Consider the following 23264-nt stretch of genomic DNA (forward strand, 5'->3'; position numbering starts at 1 on the left):
ACTGAGAATGATGATTTCCAATTTCATCCATGTCCCTACAAAGGACATGAACTCATCATTTTTTATGGCTGCATAGTATTCCATGGCGTGTATGTGCCACATTTTCTTAATCCAGTCTATCATTGTTGGACATTTGGGTTGGTTCCAAGTCTGTGCTATTGTGAATAGTGCCGCAATAAACATACGTGTGCATGTGTCTTTATAACAGCATGATTTATAGTCCTTTGGGTATATACCCAGTAACGGGATGGCTGGGTCAAATGGTATTTCTAGTTCTAGATCCCTGAGGAATCACCACACTGACTTCCACAATGGTTGAACTAGTTTACAGTCCCACCAACAGTGTAAAAGTATTCCTCTTTCTCCACATCCTCTCCAACACCTGTTGTTTCCTGACTTTTTAATGATTGCCATTCTAACTGGTGTGAGATAGTATCTCATTGTGGTTTTGATTTGCATTTCTCTGATGGCCAGTGATGATGAGCATTTTTTCATGTGTCTTTTGGCTGCATAAATGTCTTCTTTTGAGAAGTGTCTGTTCATATCCTTTGCCTACTTTTTGATGGGGTTGTTTGTTTTTTTCTTGTAAATTTGTTTGAGTTCATTGTAAATTCTGGATATTAGCCCTTTGTCAGGTGAGTAGGTTGCGAAAATTTTCTCCCATTATGTAGGTTGCCTGTTCACTCTGATGGTAGTTTCTTTTGCTGTGCAGAAGCTCTTTAGTTTAATTAGATCCCGTTTGTCAATTTTGGCTTTTGTTGCCATTGCTTTTGGTGTTTTAGACATGAAGTCCTTGCCCATGCCTATGTCCTGAATGGTAATGCCTAGGTTTTCTTCTAGGGTTTTTATGGTTTTAGGTCTAACATTTAAGTCTTTAATCCATCTTGAATTAATTTTTGTATAAGGTGTAAGGAAGGGATCCAGTTTCAGCTTTCTACATATGGCTAGCCCATATGTTTTCCCAGCATCATTTATTAAATAGAGAATCCTTTCCCCATTGCTTGTTTTTCTCAGGTTTGTCAAAGATCAGATAGTTGTAGATATGTGGCATTATTTCTGAGGGCTCTGTTCTGTTCCATTGATCTATATCTCTGTTTTGGTACCAGTACCATGCTGTTTTGGTTACTGTAGCCTTGTAGTATAGTTTGAAGTCAGGTAGCATGATGCCTCCAGCTTTGTTCTTTTGGCTTAGGATTGACTTGGCAATGCGGGCTCTTTTTTGGTTCCGTATGTAATGTTTTCTTTCAGTTACAGCTATCATGTGCTTCTGCTCCATTCACTCTGGGTTTAATCCTCTGGAATACCTATGATTCTCAAATTCAAATTCAGTTCTCGTTTCTATCTATCTCATATTTATTTCCATAATCTTCGCCCCTTTGTCCTTTTATTCTGACTTCAAGGAGAGTGTCTCATGTTTATTCTCCCCATTGCTAATTCAGTTTTTTGCTGGGCCAGGTCTACTCATTATCACCTACAATGCAAATTTGAATTTTGCTTTTTTAATTTACTTCCCCTGCAGTCTTCCCATATCTCACCTAGTTCCATTTACACTTCAATTTGTCTTTGAAACTTGCCTTTTATTTTATTTTATTTTATTTTATTTTATTTTATTTTATTTTATGCTGTTGTTCTTCTGTCTTAGCTTTTTTTCTTTTCATGGATTTTTGTTCCTGTTTCAGAGAGGTCATGATTTCTTGTACCTTACTGAGGGTGTCAAATAACTTCTACTACACCCTCAATAAATTATTTTCAGAGTTATGATCATCTTTTTTTCTTTTCTGAGACAGGGTCTCACTCTGTTGCCCAGGCTGGAGTGCAGTTGTACGATCTTGGCGCACTGCAACCTCCGCCTCCCGGGTTCAAGCAATTCTCCTGCCTCAGCCTGCTGAGTAGCTGGGACTACAGGCTCATACCCCAATGCCCAGCTAAATTTTGTATTTTTAGTAGAGACGGGGGTTTCACCATGTTGGCCAGGCTGGTCTCGAACTCCTGACCTCAGGTGATCCTCCTGCCTCAGCCTCCCAAAATGCTGGGATTACCCACATGAGCCACCGCGCCCGGCCAGCATACATCTTTTTGTTTGTTTGTTTTTTCTCTATATATCTTCATAGGTGTTTTAGTGAGAAGGTAGCTAAGTTTTCCTCCATTTTAACTGGAAACAACTTGAGTGTGTTTGATTTGTTCCTTCATTTCCTCCCTAGGCTAGAGGAGAGGGATTATGGCTTCAGCACGGGGGTGTGGGTGTGGTGGGTACTTGTGGACCAATCAGTAAGGACTTGGAAGATGCTGAGTATAGGAGGGAACAGCACCATGTGAGGTTAGGTCAGAAGGCTCTAGAAAGAGGAGTTTTAAGCAGAGCTTTGAAGAGAGGATGGAGAAACATCTTTCAAAGAGGGGCATCAACCTATACAAAGATCCAAAGATGAATAAACTATGTACTGTGGGACAAAGAGGTAAGGCAAGAGGCACATTTGCATATGAAATAGAGAACTGGGGGAGATCTTCTGAGAAATTATGCTGGTAAGACAGTCATTTCAGGGAAGGGATCTTGAAGCCCAAGCCAAAGAGTTTGGGGTTGACTAGAAGCCATAGATAATTCTGAGCAAGAGAAAAACAAGATTCCAACCGTGGGGATGATTGTGTAGTCTGTGTGAGTGGATGGACGGATGGATGAATGGAGAAATTGATGGATGGAGGGATGTGGGGCCAGGAAATAGGGAGGCTGGGGAGGGGAGGGTTGAAACTATACAGGTATAACCTCTCCAGTTCTCATACTGGTCACAGAGAGCCTGGGAGCTCTTGGGAATGAGGGAGAAAATAGATTGTGGGAAGGACTGGAACCCTGTGGGAAGCCATGGTTGATATGGACTTTTCCCATTTCTTCTCTCCCTTCTCCTATGGTACTTTTAGAAGTGTTAATATGTGCCTGAATTTTCCCTGGTGCCTATTACTACAAAGTCTGCTAGGACAGCTTTTAAGTATCTTTAAAACTCTGGGATATCACTTCTATTCCCTAAGCCTCTGACATCACTGCCCCCTTTCTGGAGAAGCAAGTCGGGAAGATCTCCATCGGCCTCTTCCTCTACCAACCACAGCCACCCTTTGCCAGGGCAGGCAGCCAGGCCTCAAGCAACCACAGGACCCGGCTCCCAAGCACATCTCAGACAGCCCACGAAGGTCGCCAGAAACCAGCCTGATGTCTGCAATTCAATGGCTGGAGGCTGGGGGATGGATGAGATGGCTTTTTGTAGTTCCCACCCCAGGATTCCGGGATTGTCACCCACAAAGGTGGCCTTCTGCCCAGATCTGTAGGTCTGTGTCTTTGGGGGAAGCTCCTAAAGGCTACACACAGAGGCACTTCCCTGTCTCCCTCCTGGAGGGTGGGTAATTATTTTTATATATTGCTGCTGAATAAAATACAAGGAATAGCTTGGAGGAATGCTCAGGTATCATCCTTTGATGTATACAAAGGAAGCACTTTCTCTGCCCGCCCCCGCCACCACCCCAGGGGTTCTTGCACACCCATCAATGCTCCTGACAGATGGAAGGAAAGGAGAGTTGAGGCATTAGCATAGCCAGGAGAACCAGTTGGAATTGCCTTCGTTTTAATATCCCACCTTTGATCTATTGAGAGGCTGACAGTGAGGGGAAGGATCTTATTAGATGGCATAAATCAAAGCTGATGAAATCACTTTCCTCCAACAAGCTTTTCCCCTGGGTGAGGAGAGAGAGAAAAGTGCTGCTCTAGCTCCCACCTCCCCTCTCTCCTCAATTGTAAGTGGGTATGGAAAGGTTAATTCAAGGCTCCATGCACCATCACCCCCACCCCACCTCTGCAGGGAAGTGGAGTTCTCACTCCAGCTTCTGGTGGCTCAGTTGACCTCCTCTGCTCCCCATGCTCTCTGTCACCATGGGACTGTCCCACCAGGAGTACTCAGGCTCCGACTCCCCAGAGTTGTCACTTTTGGGCTCTTCAGGGCTTGTGTGCTCTGTGAGGGCCTGGTGATGGGTTCCAGATGGGGAGAGGCACTGCTGGGATGCAAGGGATGAGCCCCAAGTGTTGGATGCTGCCAAGGAATGGTTCTCAGAGACCAGGGTCTTCATAGTTCCTCAACCAGTGACCTGGGAAGTGTCTCTGGGGGCCCCCCATTGCACTGTATGTGGGGGTGGGCAGGAATCGGTGAACACCTTCTTCTTCTCCCAAGAGGACAAGGGCAGGAGAGAGGTGAACAGTGAACTCAAAGAACACCGGACTCAAAACCAATGCCTTCTCTGGCTTTGCCATCTCTTTACTCTGTGACCTTGGACAAATCACTCAGTCCCTCAGAGTCCCCTTTCCTCCCTGGTTAAGTGGGGTCCCTGTTAGCTGTCACTTCCACTGCTGTGATCTCCCCATCAAGCAATCATCTGAACAATGCTGAAAGTGCCCATAACTGGATCAATAAAAAACACAGACTGAATATCCATGGTGGGCAAGTTTCAGGGAAAGAGGGGACATAGCCCGCGTCTTCAGGGGTCTTCCCATGTAATGGGGGAGAAAAGTGACCAAAGTGGGCACTTGGGTAAAGTTGTTCAAAGCTCTGAAGTTGGCCTTTTACTATCTCCCACCTCTATCGACCATCTTTCCCAGCTCCTCATCTCTCTGGTCCAAAGCTCCCTGTGTTCCAAGTCTGTGTCTCATTTTTAGAAGCTTCTCTCAAAAAGCTGTTCTCCACTAAAAGGCTACCTAATAATACTTTCCAGATTAAAAAAAAAAAAAAAATAACAGGCAGCTTCTACACTCTAAAAAAAGAATATTATCCAAATGGTAGAATTTGGTCATCTTGAGATGCCTGGAGGTGGGGGAGTGGGGGTTGGCTACTCTGTGCCTCTGCACAACACCATGTGCTTGTAAGTTGCCCTGCCTGGGGACACAGGGACATAGCACAGAAGAATTTGTCCAAAGAATGTATAGGCTCTCGGACGGACAGAGCCACAGGGACTCTTGAAGCGAACCCCTCCTTGAGCAGGTGAAGACACTGATCCTGGAGAGAGGAAAGGGACTCGTCTGAAGTCATAGCGCCCTGTGTATCAGCAAGAACAAGACCTTTGCCAGCCTTCACATCCCCACCCCCACCCCACCAGAGTGGTCTTTCTCAACCCAGACTTCCCAATGCCTACAATTTAAAGTTCAGATCCATAAAGCCCCCAAGGACCCGCACGTTCTTTTCCCTACTACCTTTCGCATCTGACCCAAGCCCTCACTCCCTGCGTCACCCAGGACCCTCTGCTCAGCACAGATGAGTTGTTCTCCTCTCCCATGTTGTTCTTTGGTCAGTACCTCTGCACACACCCTTCTTTGCCAGAAATGCTCATTACCCTCATCCACTTGGTGAAAATTCAGTTATTCCTCAAGACTCACATGAATGTCCCCTCTTTACTCCTTCTAGGAAGTTTGTCCTACCTCCGTGGCTGAAGGTTCCACACCCTTTAATTCATTCCCTCAACTCTTGGTGCACACCATTTTCAGACACAGCCTCTCTTTTCCTCTCTCTCTAACGCGCGCACACACACACACACAATCACAATTGATTATTTGTTAATCTTCGTTGCTAGACTATGAGTTCCTTGAGGGCAGGAACCAAATTCATTCATCTCTGTATCCTTCATGTCTTGTGTGGAACGCCTGGCTAATTTCTTAGAACTGTGCCATCCAGTATGGCATGTGTCAGTTAAAATAAAATTTAAAATGCGGTTCCTCAGTCATGCTGGCCACACTTCAAGAGCTCAATAGCCACAGGGCGGATAATGAATATGTCTCTGCAGAAAGCTCTATTGAACAGTGTTGTCTTAGAGGATACCAGAGGCATACAACACCCAAGATGGAGGGATGATGGATCTGGGGAGTCCTTAGCTTCCCAGATTATATGTAGGTCAATGCCTGGCACCTGCTTGAAGGGGAGCTCCCTGTAACTGGGTCTGGAGTCCAGTCATATGGATTCTGGGCTTGGTGACTACTTCTAGTGCAGACACACTGTTTAGTCCCTTTGGCTACAGCCCCAGTTTTCAGCCCCCTAAGGGCCTCGGCTAGGAGTGTACTCTTTAACTGAGAAGGTTTCTTTTCATTAAATGGGACAGGCCTTTCAGGACAAGCTCTGATGTTCAAATCTTGATAAGGAGAAGCCTTATCAATAAGCCTGAATTGAGTGGTAGCTTTGGAGTCAGACCAATGGCTTCATTCCTCTGAGCCTCCTTTTCTGCATGCAAGATGGGAAGCATAAGGTTCCTACTCCACAGGGCTAGCATGAAGATTAAATATGATAATATATGTAAATGCTGAGCACACCTGGCAATTAGCTCCTTCTCAATATAAAAGCTAAGGTTTTTATATTGTTTTATCAAACAGCAAAGTATATAGTCTAAGAGCTTCTCTGGAAAGAGACTATGTGTTATTCAAGTTTGAACCCTAGAACTAAGCACAAGGCTGGCATAATAGTAGGCACTCAATGAATGTTTATTATATTTAATCCAATCCTATTGAATTGAAGACAAAGGGAATGATACCATCTGTAATGAGAGGCATTTCAGGCAGTCTGATAGGTAGTGAGGGAGGGATGTGGGGGCAGTAGGGCTTTATGGAAGCCTTCATGAGACCATAAAGGGCCTTCACAGAATGCAGGCTGTGTTCTCCAGGAGAGAGGCTGGGAGGGGTGTCAGTCCGCGGGAAGGCAGAAGCTCATGAGCATCCGTGCCTGAGTTGGTGGAGTCTGTGGGTACAGATTCTGTGTGTTCCCCAGTCGAGCAAGCCCTCCTGCCAAGCAGGGCCAGGACATGCCATGGGCAGGGGACCCCACAACCCCATTGGAGCCCCGTGGCCCTCCGTGCAGAAGCTGGCACCTGGCACTGGCGGCTGGTGCTGGTGTGGGAGGCTGGGCCCTGCCGCCTATGGAAGGCCCAAGGGCATCTCCTCACTGCTCGGCAGGTGCCAGCCTGCTCCCTGCTGGAATCCTTGCCTTCCCAGGCAGGCTCTCGGTCAGGGCCGTTGGTCCCTCCAGGCAATCAACGGCTCCCACGTGGAATATTTTCCCCACAGAATAACCATTTCCATAGTGGCTGCTTTTTTTTTTTTTAACTTTTAATATCCTCCCCCTTCCACCCTCCATTCTGTACTCCAACCAGAGACTGAGATGTCCCCCTCCCCACCCACATCTTTTCTCTATTCTCTCCCTTCCTGTGTTCAACTGAAAGTCAGCTATGTAGCCAAGTAGGGGTGGGGGGTTCAGAGATGAAAACCAGCCCTGGGGTCGGCCAGGAGCAAACAATCAGTAATCCTGTGTCAAATGAACTGTCTTTGTCCTCAAGGTATCTCACCTCCCAGCCTCTTTCTTCCTCTCAAACGCAGAGTTAGGAAATGAGAACAGGAGCAGGCCTAGCCCACAGCTTTTGAGGATTTTTTAGTTTGGGAGCAGAGCCGACCTCATGGGCCTGCGACCTGTGTGGTTGCCAGGGCCCTGATAGCAGAAGGGGCCTGTACCTGGTTTAGTGTTCTATTGCCATCTTGAAGTTTTTTGTTTGTTTGTTTTGGAAATAGGGTCTCACTTTGTTGCCCAGGCTGGAGTGAAGTGGTGTGAACACAGCTCACTGCAGCCTCGACTTCTGGGATCAAAAGATCCTCCTGCCGCAGCCTCCTGAGTAGCTGGGACTACTGGAGCGTGCCACCATGCCTGGCTAACTTTTAAATTTTTTTCTAGAGAGGGTGTCTTGCTATTTTGTCCAGGCTGGTCTCAAACTCCTGAGCTCAAGCAATCCTCCCGCCTGAGCCTCCCAAAGTGCTGGGATTATAGACATGAGCCACTGTGCCCAGCTGAGATTCTTGGTAAACACAGGCTTTTCATCCCCATTATGTAGCCACTCCTATTCAGGAGGGTCTTAGTGATGGGCAGCTTCAAGGAGAGAGGGAGGCAACCAGGCTGGTGTGGGAGTTTGGGCAGAGAAGCCCACTAAATTCAGCAACCTGAGTTTGTAAGTCACTGGAAGAAAGCTGGCTAGGGGCTCCCCTTCTCTGAGCTTTCAGCATCTGAAACAGAACCTTTGCCCTCCTTTCCTACTCTGCAAAACCCTGATAGGCTGGGGAGGGAAAGGGATACTTCAGGTACTAGGACTGGCTGGAGATACTTTCTTAGGATGAGACCATGTCATGGAAGAGACTCTGGAGGCATCATCTTCCTCTTCTTGGATGAGAAGTGGAATTCCTCTCTGGATGTGCCCCAGCCCTGTGGAGCCTACTTCATTCAGGCCCACCTTTCCTCATGAATTCTGGGTTTCAGTCTCTCTCTGCTCCTAAAGCCCTCTGTCCTACCATTGCCATGTCTTCTCATGTAATGTGGCTCAGAGCTAGGGAGGGGACCCAAGTCGTGGCTGACCTGAATGGAACAGAAGAGGAGGACACCTGCCCTCTTTCCCTTGCTTTCCTCGCCTCCCTTAGGGCACACTGACCTTTGAATTTAAAGTCAGCCTGCACTCAGGGAGCGGGTACTATGGCAAAGCCCTGAGCATGGAGCTTTGCACGAGTGATTGCTTTTAAATGAATATTTGATGACATCCATGGGTCAGCTAGAGGCCCACTCAGACCCCTGAATCTGTCCCCTTTATCTTGTATTTGACTAAGATCTGGTAGGATATAAGATGGATTAGAGAAATAAATCCCAGAAAGGGTCCACTAGATTGATTTAGTCCTCTGTGGGCTGTAAGGGCCCCTGGTTTCCAAATAGAGATATGCTTCTTGCATATCCATATCTTACACAAAGAACTGTGAGTCTCTCTGTCATTCCTTCGCTTTTGGGGAACTAGACTGGTAGAGTGAAAAGAAGCTCTGAGTTGTTTTGTTTTGTTTTTGTTTTTGCTTTTGTTTTTTTTTTTTGAGACAGAGTTTTGCTCTCGTTGCCCAGGCTGGAGTGCAATGGCGCGATCTCGGCTCACTGCAACCTCCGCAACCAGGGTTCAAGTGATTCTCCTACCGCAGCCTCCCAAGTAGCTGGGATTATAGGCGTGTGCCACCACGCCCGTCTAATTTTGTATTTTTAGTAGAGATGGGGTTTCCCCATGTTGGTCAGGATGGTCTTGAACTCCCGAACTCAGGTGATCTGCCCACCTCAGCCTCCCAAAGTGCTGGGATTACAGGCGTGAGCCACCACACCCTGCGAAGCTCTGAGTTTGAGTCCCAGCCCTACCACTGCCTTTGGGCATTTCTCTTTATCTCTGTGGGCTTCAGGCTCCTCATATGAGACGAGTGAGGCTGGAAGGCTCCTTCAGGCTCTGACACAGTGTGATTCTTAGTGTACGCTATTGTCCTGGGTCGCTGTCAGTGGGTCACTTCTTGCTGTCTAACCTAAAGCTCTTCTGCTACGCTTGCTCCCTGTTAGGTCCTCATCTCATTTCAGTCAATTCAGACCAGGACCCTATGTCCCCATCTCCCTGGGATGTCCTATGACCTGGCGACTTTCACACCACATGCCCCTTGGGACTTGGAGGGAAGGGTCCCCTTCCTTCCCTCCCTGCTTCAGCCTCAGCCCTTAGCTGGGGGAGTATGAGAAGCAGTTTGGCCCTCGACAGGTTAAGCTGTTTCCCCAGAGCCTAAGCAAGCCCGAACTGGCCTGTGAGGTCCCTGCTAATCTGCCCCATTACTGCAGGTAAGAATTATAATCAGAAATCACTTGAGGGGCCAGGTCCACGTGGGAGAACGAGAGGCGCTGCTGGGGGTTGTTGATTCTGTTCCAGAGCTTAATTGGTATAATTGCTCTCTTCAGCCTGCCAAGCCAGAGTCCATCAGGATTGGCTCTCCCACCCTCTACGGGGAGCTGCTTAAAAAGGTCTTTTAGTCCCAAGTGGAGGATTCTGCTGGCGGCTCGGAGACTCCTTCAGCAATCCAATACCCCTTTCCTGGCTGCCAGATGGCAGGGGAGCCTAGGACCCCCCTACCCTAGAGGACTAGAGATCCCAGGGGAGCCTGAACCCTGACTTGAAAGGGTGGGGGAATTCTCCAGAGAGCACCTTATCCTACCGGGAGCTGGGTGGGGAGATAGTAAGAGGGGTTGCTCTATAGCCAGGTGTCGACCCTTAGGTGTTCCCAAGAGTCAGAGGTTCCTGGGGGCAGGGAGCAGGTGTCCAACCAGAAAATACAGGGGAGGCTGGGCGCGGTGGCTCACACCTGTAATCCCAGCACTTTGGGAGGCTGAGGCGGGTGGATCACCTGAGGTCAGGAGTTCGAGACCAGCCTGGCCAACATGGTGAAACCCTGTCTCTACGAAAATACAAAAAAATTAGCCGGGCTTGGTGGCAGGTGCCTGCAATCCCAGCTACTCCAGAGGCTGAGGGAGAAGAATCGCTTGAACCCGGGAGGCAGAGGTTTCAGTGAGCTGGGATTGCACCATGGCACTCCAGCCTGGGCAATAAGAGTGAAACTCTGTCTCAAAAAAAAAAAAAAAAAAAAAGAGAGAGGGGAGAGAGGAGAAAGTTTAATAGAAGCCAATACTGCGCCTGTCTCCTGCTGCCTCCTCCACTCCCCTCTGTGCTTCGTGGAGTCTCCCTCTAAGGGGGTGTTTGTCCTCACTGTCTCTGGGGTGGGCAAGTCATCAAACCATACAGCTGAGGAAAGCAACACAAAAGGTTAAAGGAGGGTATTTGTGGCTACATCTGTGTGATGGCAAAGCCCACACCTTCCACATCACAGGAGCCCCCTGGGTCAGAGCTGCCAGATAAAATACAAATGTTGCATGGGACTTATTCAAACTTATACTTGCTTATCTGAAATTCAGATTTAACTGGGCATTGTCCCAAATATTACACAGGACATATTTATGCTAAAATTATTATTTATCTGAAATTCAAATTTAAATGGGTAGCATGTTGTTTTATTTGCTATATCTGGCAGTGCTACCCTGGGTCCATGCCCCACCCCCAAGCCCACCTGGCCTGAGTGTAAACGCCCCGTCTCTCTGCTCATCCCAAACACAAACACAGTCCTGGCCGATTTCTTCCATGTGCTCATTCCACCTTCTTCATTTGCCAGTTTTCTTCCTTTTCTCCTTTGGTGTGTCCCAGTTCCCAAGTACCAGGAGCAGGGCAGCAAACACCTCCCCTCTCCAGCCCTCAGCTGCTCTACCATGCCACTTAGGATATCATGAGCCAGGACAGAAGATAGTTTCTCTCTGACAGAGCGGAAAGAGGCCTGGAGGCTCAGCCCATCCAGCCCTTCCCTAAGAGGCTGAGAAAGTAAGGCCCTGTTTTAAGCCAGTGCCATGCTCGGCCCAGCCTGGCAAAAGGGCCCTTCCCAAGCTCTCCTGCCTATGGGTTACACAAAATGCAGGAGATGGACTAACCAGGACTGTAGGTTACATGTGTGAGCGTGCACATGCATGTGGCCAGCAAACGTGTGTACTCACACATACGCACATACATAGCAAAGGCCACTTCCAAGTGCCCCCTGAGCTCACAGAATAAGTTTTCCCCTTGCCCTGCCCTGACCCACTTCCTGCCTGCCTCCTAGCACCTCCTTATGGTACATGGCCATCTTCTCAGCTCAGCCACAATCTCTGCCCTGGTGTCCCACCTGGGCAGGACACCTAGGTGAACAGGTGAGCAGGTTCTTAACCTCCCATCATGCACCTCAGTGCCAACACAACACAATGGTGAGGCACATGAATTTTGACGTTAGACAACTTGGGTTCAGATTTAAGCCCTGCAGCTTACTAGTTGTGGGGCCTTGGGGGGCTTAATCTCTCTGTAAAATGGGGCTAATCAGAGCTACCTCAATGGCATTTTTGAGAAGATACAGGACACGGTACCTGGTATTGTATACCTGGCATATGACAAGGACTCAATAAATGGAGACAGTGATTATTATTGGTGTCATGGTTGTCACTGTAGGGATGTTCTCTGCCCTGAGCTTCAGAGAAGGAGGTACTGCCCCTCTTAGGGAGTCAGGCTTCCTGGGTCTGTTAATTTACCCATTAGGAAGGCAGTAGCAGAGAGCAAGGCCCAGATCTGCGAGATGTGTCAGGCCCCTCCCTGGCCCCACATCCAGTGGGTTGCTGGGCCTTATCAATGTGACCTGTTTTTTTTTGTTTTTTTTTTTTTGAGATGGAGTTTCGCTCTTGTCGCCCAGGCTGGAGTGCAATGGTGTGATCTCGGCTCACCACACCCTCCGCCTCCCAGGTTCAAGCAACTCTCCTGCCTCAGCCTCCCGAGTAGCTGGGATTACAGGCGTGTGCAACCATGCCCGGCTAATTTTGTATTTTTAGTAGAGACGGGGTTTCGCTATGTTGGTCAGGCTGGTCTCGAACTCCGACATCAGGTGATCCGCCCACCTCAGCCTCCCAAAATGCTGGGATTACAGGCGTGAGCTACCGTGCCCGGTCATCAATTTGACCTCTTAAGGATATCCAAAATCTCTGTTCCCTTCCCCCATCCACACTGGACCTGCATTCTCTTCCCTCAAGGCCCTCATTCATGACACCCCTTTCCATCTCTCCTTGTTGAAATCCTATCCTACCTTAAGAAGGCCATCTCAAATGTGACTTCTTCCGTGTGGTCCTAAGCAGGACTCAGGGCTTAGGTATCTGTCTGTGGTCTCTGGAAAATCTGGGACTAAGATGCTGCTCCCATGGAAAGGGCCTTTCCAGGGTTAGGAGGAGAGTCTGGGCATCTGCTGGGTGGGCATCTGCAGACGGGGGAAAGCGGGAGGTGAGAGCCCTCACCACAATAGAATGGGGTGTCAAAGCAGGACAGCCAGGATCCTCGACCATCCCTGGTAAGGGGGGCTGTCCAGGTCTCCTCTAGCTTACTGGTGTGCTTGGTCAGGCCATCAGTTTGAGGCTTGGAAGCAGAGGATTCAGAGGGCATGTATTCACTCATTTATTTATTGCCCATTTATTTAAAAACATTGAGTGCCATCTGCAAACTAGGCATTGCGCTGGGTGCTGCGAGTTCACAGCTGAATGTAGTGCCTGCTCTGGTCATATATGCAGGAGGTTGAGGTAGAGCCCTCATCTCTTGGAGTAATTTATGATCAAATCTAAGAACGAGGGCTCCCAGGACCAGCTGAGCACTAACCACAGCAGGAAATGGCTTTCTACATCCTCATTCAGTCTTCCTCTCTTCTCCAGCAATCCAAGGTTGTTAGATTGGAGCATCAGATCTGGAAAACCTAGCTCAGTGCTTTAAAAACATTAACGTGCTGATGAATCAATGAATCACCTGGGAGTCAGGTTAAAATCCAGGTTCTGATTTAGTAAGTCTGGGGTGGGGCCTAAGATTCTGCATTTCTAACAAGCTTCCAGGTGATGCTGGGGCTGATGGTCCATGGGAGTCCACATTAACACAAAGCTCCCCAGGGTGGTTCAGCCACAGACCATCAAGGGTGTGACGGCCACCACTGGAGAACCATGTCCAAGGTGACAAGCCTTGCCAGCAGAGGGCACTCACTGAAGGGCTTTTGGTCCCATCATGTCAAGTTTGATGTGGGTGGGAAGTCTTTCCTAACTACAGCTTTTGAAGAGTGTCCTGGTGAATGTGCTTTCACACCCAAGACTTCAGTGTTGGCCTATCCACCCATGGCCCCCTTGCTGGTGAACTAGGGAGTGTTTCCCAGTGGTGCTTGAGGTCTTCACAGAGAGAGCACTGATGAGATGCTCAGGGAAAAGACAGAAGCACTGCTGGACCTTCTACAAGGGGGCTTGTGCTGTTGGGATGAAAGAATATCACCCCATCCCACCCTACTGATCATATCACTTCTCCTTTGGGTTCAGGATTATGGAGCTGTAGGGCCTTTGTGGGTAAGGCTGGGGTTTCCATGGCTTAAATGCCATATGGCTATGTGGGAGGACCATGGCTCAGGGCTAAGCCTCGCTTCAAGATAGGAAAGTCCAGCAATAGATCCATGGTACAGGTCAGTTTGTCTGGTCCCTGTGAGACCATCTGCTTAGGGCAATAGGGGTTCAGCCCAAGTCCCAACCTGGGGCTCAGAGACAGTAGCATGTTGATAAAGGCTGTCGTGGCCTGGGCACATGTGTAAAAAGCTAAGGTTGAAAAATCTCCTTGTTTTGCTGGGCTGCTAAGATCTTCTAGGGCTCCCATAAGTAATCCTCATATCACCCTAGAATCTCTGGTTATGCACAAGCAGGATCACCCACCATCTGTTCACCTGTTCTGAGAGGCAGCTAATCAAGAACTTCAACTGTGGCATGCAGGGGCCTCCTAGAGGTCATCAACTGAGCAAGAAGCCCCAGGACTTTAGCAGGAGCCCCTTGCCCCCTGGGCCCTTGAAGGGACAAGGAACAGGTGGTGCTAGGGATGGGTGACAGGGAAGGGCTTACCCTTTTGGGGAGGCATTTTTCTTTGGTTCGGTTCAGAGGGAGGACATTTCCCTCTGCCAATGCTGAGAACATCTCCATTATATGGTCTTGGACTATCATAGAACAGTTAGCAAGGTCGAGGTCACACTCAGAGAGCAAGGGTAATATGGCATAGATTTGGAAGCCCGGGAGTATGGATGTGAAGGGAAATACTGGCTATCCACAAACAGGCTATGGGTTCAGCCTTGGGTCTGAGAGGAAGAGGTGGGGTCATTCATAGAAACATATGGTGTAGAGGATCAAGAAGGATCAAGAACTGTGGGTTGGTGGGAGGTGGAGGTTGCAGTGAGCCAAGATTGTGCCACTGCACTTCAGCCTGGGCAACAGAGCGAGACTCTGTCTCCCAACAACAACAAAAAAAGAACTATGGGTTGGAATGGAGCCAAATATGGGAACTCGAAGAGGCGGGATACAGGATACATGGTGGCCAAGTCACAACTTTAGTCCCAGGGAGCCTCAAAGGCCCTGTTGAGGGCCTGGCTGGCCCAGTCTAGCCCCAAAGCTTGGTCTGCATCTTGCCCTGGATTGACCCCTCTCCATCCTCTCTTCCACCAGGCGCCTAGATGCCAACCTCATCTCCCTGGTCCCGGAGAGGAGCTTTGAGGGGCTGTCCTCCCTCCGCCACCTCTGGCTGGACGACAATGCACTCACGGAGATCCCTGTCAGGGCCCTCAACAACCTCCCTGCCCTGCAGGCCATGACCCTGGCCCTCAACCGCATCAGCCACATCCCCGACTACGCGTTCCAGAATCTCACCAGCCTTGTGGTGCTGTGAGTGCTGCTCTGTTCCCCATCCCCAGTGGGGTCCTGCTGGGGGCTGGGGGCTGCATGTTTACTTGAGTTGGATTGGAGCCTGGCTAGCTTTGCTCTTCTTTGCATGTTGCTAAACCTTCTGGCCTCCCTTTGGAAAAGCATGAGGATGACCATTCCCTGTTGATCCCATAGGGTTATCATGAGGTCAAATGACATGAGAGCTTGAAAAGTGCTCTGAGAGTCACTAAAGGGCCAGGGTACTATAATCAGAAAATAGGAATTAAGCCATTATTTTCTTGCCATGCACATATAATAACTATACCTTGATAACTGGAATATAAATCAAGAATTTCTTAAGTAATTTCTACCATATTTGACAATTAGATGATGCAGTCATATGCTTTGGCACAGGGATGGGATAAATTCATCTCATTTCCCAGGCCTTAAGAAGCAGAGAAAAGTCATCACTTATAATTAGACAGCAAAGCCCCATCACTGTAATTACCTGGGAGATAGCATCCCTGGCAGGAATTGGGGACTGGGGTTAACTCTGCCTCCCCAGTGGGAACTTTAGAGGGCAAATTAGCTCCCAGCTAATTGCTATGAATGATTGGTAAGTTCATAGGGTAATTACTAAAAGGGCTTGGAGGTCATGTATAATTGCTTTGGGTTACACACTAATTGCTGCAGGAACATGGCTTAGGAACATGCATGTTAGTGACTCTACTGGATGGTAACATTGCCCCCACGCCCCCCGCTTTTGAAGATCTGGCGTGATTTTCTAAACCAGGGAATGGATGATACCTAGTTCCATTTGAGAGATGAAAAGGCAGGCACCAATTTGTTTGTCTAATTCTCTGTCCTGGGAAGCTGGAGAACCAAGGTCAATATCCTTGTGGACTATATTCTTCTGTCAGGGTGCCATACCCTCCCTTCTTCTGGGAGTCACGGGGCAGGGTGGGGGGGTATTTAGAGAGGGTAAACAGAACAAGGTGATTGGTTCTAACTTTGGTGACATCCCCGTGACATTGTGAGAGGGTGGGGTCAGGCCTCTGTGAGGGATAAGATTACTGGAGAAATAAGAACTTCATGGTTGGCCCCAGGTGGATAAGAAGGAGCAGGCATTTATTGAGCCCCCATGTGGTGTACTGAAAACTCAAAAAACTGTGAGATATAGCCACTGCCCTTGAGGGGCTTTCAGTCCAATTGAAAGAGCAGAATAAATATGGGAAAAAAATAACAAATGATGTAGTGAAACTTATGCTAACACAGCCAGATGATAAATTCAGACTCATAGCAGCATAGATATGGTGGGAAGGCTGAGGTGGAGGGGAAGGAGGCTTCCTGGGGGAGGTGGGGTGGGACCTGGGCCTGGAAAGATGATGAAATGAAGAGAATGGGGACATTCCAAGCAGATAGCAATAAAGACATGGAGGGGAGAGTAAGCGTGTTTGGCTGCCAGTGACCAGGCCAGTGTGGCTGGAGCAGAGGGTCCCCATGCAGAGCTCAGGAGAAGAAGCTGGAAAGGTGCATGTCGGGACTTTCAACGTCAGAACAGAGAGCTTGGCTTCTCTCTGCTCGTGTGGGAGGGAAGCTTGAAGGTTTTCAGGCAAGGGTTAAAAGGGAGTATTTTAGGAAGATTAATTTGAAGGCTGGATTGGAACCGAGGCAGACTGGAGACAGGAAGGTCAGTTCAGAGGTTCTTGGTATCAAAGTCCAGTAGTTTAAGGAGGTGGCAGAAGGGATGGAAGGGAAGGCATGACTGTGAGGGCTGTTTTGAAGGAAGAATTGACCTGATTGAGAGATTTTCAGAGGGTAGAAGACCAAGAAGAAGGGGAGTCATGGGTGACTCCAAGGTTTGGGTGGGAGCCAAGGAATTGGCCTATAAGTCAGGCCTGTTATAGATCTAGGAGAGATTGAGGGGAAGGCCCACTGAGGACAAGGAGGGACAAGGGACTAAGGAAAGAAAACCTACTGGTGCGGGAGCAAAGCTGATAGAGAAAAACTGGTCCCTTTGCATGGGGAGAGGTTAGAAACATTACCCCTTCATCCCTCACCTGCCTCCAACTCATGGGATGGAGGAGAGAGGCTTCTAGCAGGAGGTGACCTGTGAAGTGGACAGGAGGCTGGGGAATGCTGTCCAGGGACTACAGGATGAGCTGTAGGAAGGCCCAAGAGGAAGGTAAGGAAGACTGGATATGATGGGAAGCAAAAAAGATATTTGGTTAAAATCAAGGGTTGTACAGGGGCCTGGCTGGAGGTGTGAGCAGGCAAGCAGGGTGGAGGAGAAGGGGCTTCTCTTCAACCCCAACCCTGAGCTTTCATCATCGGGCTGCTCTGCCACATGTGGAATCTCCCTCACCACTGCTCTGGCACCAACAGGACCCTTAGGTAGCACGTAGCTGGACAGCAGTGGTGTCATGTGTGTAATCTTGTCTCTTTATCTGGACTATATACCTCAACACCTCTCCCAGACTGGACCATTTGGGGTGCCCAAGACACCAGGGTTGAATGAGTGGTTTAGGGGAGGGAATTGGAGGCCTGGAGCTGGATGTTTAGCTGAGATGGCCTGGACCTGAGATACTGGGGGAGGCAGAAGGGGGTGGAAAATGGAGACAGGAGTTCAACAGCAGGTAAGAGGAATGATAGAGTTTGATGACAATTGGTTTATAGGTGTGAAGGAAATGGGAAAAATTAAAACTCCTCAGTAAGGGGAGATCACTCCCAGAAGGCAGTGTTTTCCCCTTTGGATCAGAAGCTCCCTGGGGACAGGAGTCTGTCTCCTGAAACGGAACTTCATGGAGCAGGTGGGTAAGGATGGGGAAGACAGACAGAAGCTTTAAATCCCCAGGCTCGCAGGAGTCCCGTCCTTACCCATCTATGTTGGGTGAGGCCTGCCCATTGCCTTTATATTTGAACAACATCTTGGAGGCCAGCCTGATTTTCTTCCCCTTGTCAGTGATTTCCTTCTTCTGCCTGAAGATGTTTTTAAATTCTTGAATTTAATAGTTTAACTAGGATATGTCACAGTATGGAATAGTCAGCATCTAATTATCCTGGAACAATGTATGCTTTTGAGCTGCAGCTTCCATTCTTTCATCATCTTAGAGATTTCTTTTGTGTTATGTCTTTGAATACATCTTCAGTCTCATTTTTGGATTCTCTGCTCCAGAAACATCAATTATGTTTGTGTTAAATCACCTTTATGTCTTCAGCATTTAGTTTTTGTTTTAACATTTTTGTCTCATTCAACCATAGTCACCATGATTATCTCAGGTTTTCTCTCCGACACCAATTCAATTTTTAGCAGTGTCTGCACTGTCCCTTGTTTTAAATTTATTGACTCATTTTTTCAAGTGATGTAGTGTTGGTCCTCAACTTATTTCCTTAATCTACTGTGTCATTTTTCCTTTCACTTAAGAACATTCATCTTTGAAATGTTGTTTTATTGGATTGTTTTGTAGCAGAAGGCTACTGTGATAAATTTCCTTGTGTTCCTGGTTCATTAGTCATCTTTTCTTCTAGGCTTAAAACTTTGCCTGTCTTTTGCATCCTCTTTCTTCTGGCTTTCTGTTTCCCTGTTGTATGTTTTCATAATTTCCATGTAATGTTGTTTTTTTCCGGCTTATGCTTGGATAGCTCTGTCCAGTTGTTCAAGCTGCATCACTTCGGGTCCCCCTTTGCCTGGAATGCCCTTCCTTCTGCTTGTTCAGTTCACCTGTCCTTCAAGGCCCTGCTCTGGATCACCACCTCTATAAAGCCTGCCTCGATTCCTCTGGCCTCACCAATCTGCCTGTTCTCTGAGTGTGTCTGTAGCTCTCTCCAGTTGTAACAGAAAGCTTCGCCTTTAATTATATGTTGACTGCAGTGGTTTGCTGTTGGCTCCCATAAGTACGTCTGGCCACTGAGTCAGGCAGACTGGGTCCTGGGGAGCCCAGCCATAGAAGAAGCCTCAGACTTGAGCCCCTCTGACATCAGACCTGTCTTCTAGAGCTTAGGGGGAACTTGCTTTAGCCTTGGCCTGAGGCTCTCCTCTCCCTTTTTCCTTTAATAGGAAATCAATATGGGGTAGCCTGTGGTCAATCCAGCCTTGGAGATTGTGGCTTCAGAAGTCAGTCTTGGCCAGTCAGTTTGTTCCTGGAAACAAACGGATGGACCATTAGGGTCATTCTGTCCATGCTTCTGCCTACACTTTCCCCATGCCACCATGTGCTCTTCCATCCCCTGGCCCCAGTGCCGTGGGCACCCATTCTGATGCGTCTTTCCTTCCCGTGCAGGCATTTGCATAACAACCGCATCCAGCATCTGGGGACCCACAGCTTCGAGGGGCTGCACAATCTGGAGACACTGTGAGTTTTGAGGTCTTGGTCAAACTCTGTCCTGCCTGGTGATGAAAGCCTGGAGTCTTGGAGTGGAGGGAGCACACAGAGGGAAGAGCCAGCAGTCCTGGGATGCTGGGGTCTGGCCCCGGGCTTGTTTACCCACATGCCCCTCCCTGGCACTTTCTCTGGAATATCACTGAGAATGAATTTCTTCCTCCTTCAGGTGGTCAGAATGTGCCCTCTGGGAGTTCAGAATGGCCCAGGGAGTAGGAACCTGGGATCTCCCTGTGGGCAGAGACCACCAAAATAATGAAAATTCTGGACAGAAATGGGAACTGCAAGAAGCTCAAGGAATTAAAATATGAAGCCCGGGGAATAGAAGGCATGGGGGTGGGGCTGGGGCTGACTTGATGGCAGTTTTGACATCTGTGTAAGGGTGGCTGCTGACAGAAGGAAGAGTAATACTGCAGAGTAATGCTGGGACTGTTTGCCAATTGATCGAACTAGCTAAATGATTAATGGGGAGATGGCCCATTGAGCACTCTAGCCTTACTATAAGAAGCACCCAAGCTGTTGACTCTCAAAAAGCCATATTATTCACACATCATCATCCTGGAATTCAGTTAAGGTCAGAATACACCCAAACCCTCCCATCATTTCCTGTGGAGTCCTGCCAGTCCCCACACAGTGGGCTGAGTGGGCCCCACTTGAGCAAACAACTGGCTGGGCTCTCCAAGTGTGGCCGTTTCTGCCAGCTGGGGTCCCTCAGCATCCATGAGGGAGCTGGCTGCCATGGCCACCTGGTACAGGCCTCGGAGAGGGTCGATGGGGAGAGAAGGACCCCCAGGTCACCAAGTATGAGCCACTGAGGTTGGGGTAGAGCTCATGGTGTCAGGGGGATGCTCACAGTTTCTCTTACCCCCCACTTGCTCCACCTTGCCCTCCATAACCAACCCCCCTTATTCTCCACCCCCTCCCACATATACCCCAGGACATCAATCCTGAGGTGAGGGGTTTTCAAGAATCCGAAGCAGCAGAGGAGAAAATGCTGAGTCAAGCTGTGATCTGGGAAGCAATGTACTGGGGAAAACCATTTGGGAAAACTTATCCCAGGAGGCCTGGGCTAATGGCATTTGTGGTGGTGCAGGGAAAAGTAATAGGGAGGCTGAGACCCAAGCTCCACTCTTTTTTCCTGTGGGCACAAGACCCAGAAGTGTGGCTGCTTTCTTGGGCTTAGCCTGAAGCGGGAGAAATGGCAGAGCCAGCCCAGCTTTGCCGGCATGCTCACCCTCCGGAAGACTGAGGACTGAGGTGTGGGGGACATGCCCCAGCCTGGAGGCAGGAAAATTGGAACCTCTTCCTGCCACTGTGCGTGACTTGGGCTACATGTTCCTCCCTCTCTAGCTGTCATAGACAGCTGGGCAGTTAACTCTGGACAGTCTAGCCCACTCAATCAACATCTGAGAAAATTGATGTCCGGGGAGGTGTCATGGCCTGCCCAGAGTTACTCCCTCAGTTAGAGACAGAGCAGATCTAGGGTGCATTAATGAGAAAACATACATGAAAGTCCCTGGGGGAGAGCCTGCTGTCCTCTTTTGTCTGGGTCAAATGTGAACTGTGTGAGCCTGCTATGTGCCAGCTGTTTGGGGGAATCCTAGATGTAAGAGATGGTGCTCATTACCCTGCAAAAGCCTGTGTGCCCACAGCCACCTTCCCTCAGGAGATATAAGAGCTTTTAGGGCAGTGTTTGGAGTTGCCATGGATGAGCAGGGCAGGAGGGAGTCCAATGCCATGAACCCTGGAGTGTGGGCGCTGTTAGCTTTGCTGGGAAATCAGGTGGGGAGGGGGTACATACACTGACTATGTGTTGGCGCCTCTAAAAAACCAACTAGCAGCTGTTTCTTCACTTTTGGGGCACACTGCCTAATTCTTTCTCAATTAGCCACTGGATTGCCGCGCAGGGCATTTGGCTCAGCTGATGCTGGCTGAATTACAGAGCAATCCTGCCGCTAAGCGCCCACTGTACCTTTCATCTACAGGAGCACTTGATTCCATCACACAAAGCCCAGGGCCTGCACCCACTTTACCAATGGGAAAGCCAAGGCTAGGAGCCTGGTGGCAAAGCCCTTGGCATCAGACAGCCTGGGGTACAGTGCCACTTCTACCAGCTGTGTGACCTTGGTAAAATCATTTGCCTCTGTGAGTCTCCGTTTTCTAATCTGAAACATAATGCCAGTAATAGTTAACTAATCTTACAGGGTTGGCCTGTGGATTAAGTGAGATGATGTGTGTAAAATTCTTACAAACCCTGACAAGCTGTATAGGAGCCTGCCCTACACTCCTTTCTCCTTTCCCATCTCCTCCTCTGAGGGCCTCCATCTCAACAATACCCCCTTCTTCCTGCCCTTGAGGGGTGAGTTCTTCTTCCAACTTTTGATCTCCAATTAAAAAGGGGAAAAGTGTGTTCTTTATCCTCTGTTCCCCAGAGCATTTGCTGGGGAGCCTGCAGGGGCAGCCAGATGTGGCAGGGGGAGGAGTAGATGGGAGAATAAAAGGAGAAAGAAATGATAGTCAAACCTTTTAATTGTTGCATAATTGGCACGCTTTGCAGTCTCTGGAGCTTTTCATGTGAGCTTCTCACTGGAAGGGTATTTCTCCCTCAGGCCCCATAAATCTCTGCCACTTAGACTTCTCTCATCTCCGGCAGCAGAGGGAAGATCAAACCCCTGCGGCCCAAGCTGCGGTTTGGCTGGAGCTGTGGTTTGGCTCCTCTGCAGACTCCTCTAAGTGGGGAAAGCGGCCCCCAGCCATACCACCTGGGGAGGAGGGGCCAGGTGCGGGCATGCACACACGTGGTCACACAGGCATCTGGAACTGCACAGCCAATCATGTGCACGTGCAGCACACGTGCCACATGTTTCAAGCCCTACATGACCCTCACTCCACGTAGGCAGCCCCACCCCACAACCCAGCACAGCACAGAAATGCCCATCACAAATGCACCTGCAGCAACACACCCTCTGTTATGCCCTCAGCTCTGGAGACCAGGCTGTTTGGCTTCCAACCCTGGCTTTGCCCCTGCAAGCTGGGTCAGCCAGAGGAAGTAACTTCACCTCTGTGAGCCTCACTTCCTTCATCTGCACAATGGGCTACCTCAGAGATGGGGAGAAAGTGTGAGAGACATACACCATGCTCTCTTTTACTCCAAAAGAGCCAGCAAATCCAAGTCATTTGGGCAGGGTTCAGGGGATGGGCACTGTTAAGACCTCTCTTGTTTAGCAGAACAAATCGTGCCAACTCCACCCGCCCCACCCCCTTCCTACAGAAACCTTGTTGCCCTCTGGGAAAGTCTGACCTCGTAGGAAGGAAGCTCCCAGGACATTTCTCCTGATGTAGTCATCATCATTCCAGACTTTGCCAAGAAACCTCAGCCAGAAGCAGACAGGTCATGCTCCATCCTGCATCCACAACTCCTTTCTACTTCCACAATGAGGATGACCCGAACTTGCTGGGAAATTGAGAATCAGAGGTGGTCTAGTCCCCAGACTGTGAAGTAGTATTTCCACTTAACCAGATCAGACCAAATGTAGGTATTTGGGGGTGAGTTGCCCATGTCACTGTAATTTGCAAGTGACGGTAAACCACTAGAAACCATACCTCTTGCTTTGTAATACGTTGCTTCACTTAGCACTAGCTCCGTCAAGGTCAGATCAATCATAGGACTTCCCAGGTATCTAGGCTGAGAGATAAGAGAGCATGGTGAAGAACATTTCTAGGAAGGTTTTCCCAGGAGGTCTCA

At 48.9% G+C, this 23264-nt stretch overlaps 1 protein-coding gene across 18 annotated transcripts in view, besides 1 other annotated feature; it reads left to right on the forward strand.

The window, feature by feature from the left end:
* LGR6 (leucine rich repeat containing G protein-coupled receptor 6) overlaps window positions 1-23264 on the forward strand; it is a 125963-nt gene that overhangs the window by 67562 nt on the left and 35137 nt on the right. For 12 of the 18 annotated variants that reach the window (NM_001017403.2, XM_047426928.1, XM_047426929.1 and 9 more), the window contains 2 exons: window positions 14946-15161; window positions 19421-19492. The exons of 2 other annotated variants lie outside the window; for them this stretch is intronic. In NM_001017403.2, coding sequence (NP_001017403.1) covers window positions 14946-15161; window positions 19421-19492 — 288 coding nt within the window. The remainder of the gene's footprint in view (window positions 1-14945; window positions 15162-19420; window positions 19493-23264) is intronic. 4 more of the 18 variants (XM_047426931.1, XM_011509840.3, XM_011509838.3 and 1 more) reach the window with 2 other exon arrangements.
* Window positions 2660-3160: an enhancer, noted in NCBI's record as "H3K4me1 hESC enhancer chr1:202233148-202233648 (GRCh37/hg19 assembly coordinates)". NCBI's record gives its function as "activates a minimal SCP1, AML or CMV promoter by ChIP-STARR-seq in naive H9 embryonic stem cells {active_cell/tissue: H9 hESC(naive)}" and the evidence as "EXISTENCE:reporter gene assay evidence [ECO:0000049][PMID:30033119]".

Source organism: Homo sapiens, chromosome 1, assembly GCF_000001405.40.
Source record: "Homo sapiens chromosome 1, GRCh38.p14 Primary Assembly".
Lineage (NCBI taxonomy): Eukaryota > Metazoa > Chordata > Mammalia > Primates > Hominidae > Homo > Homo sapiens.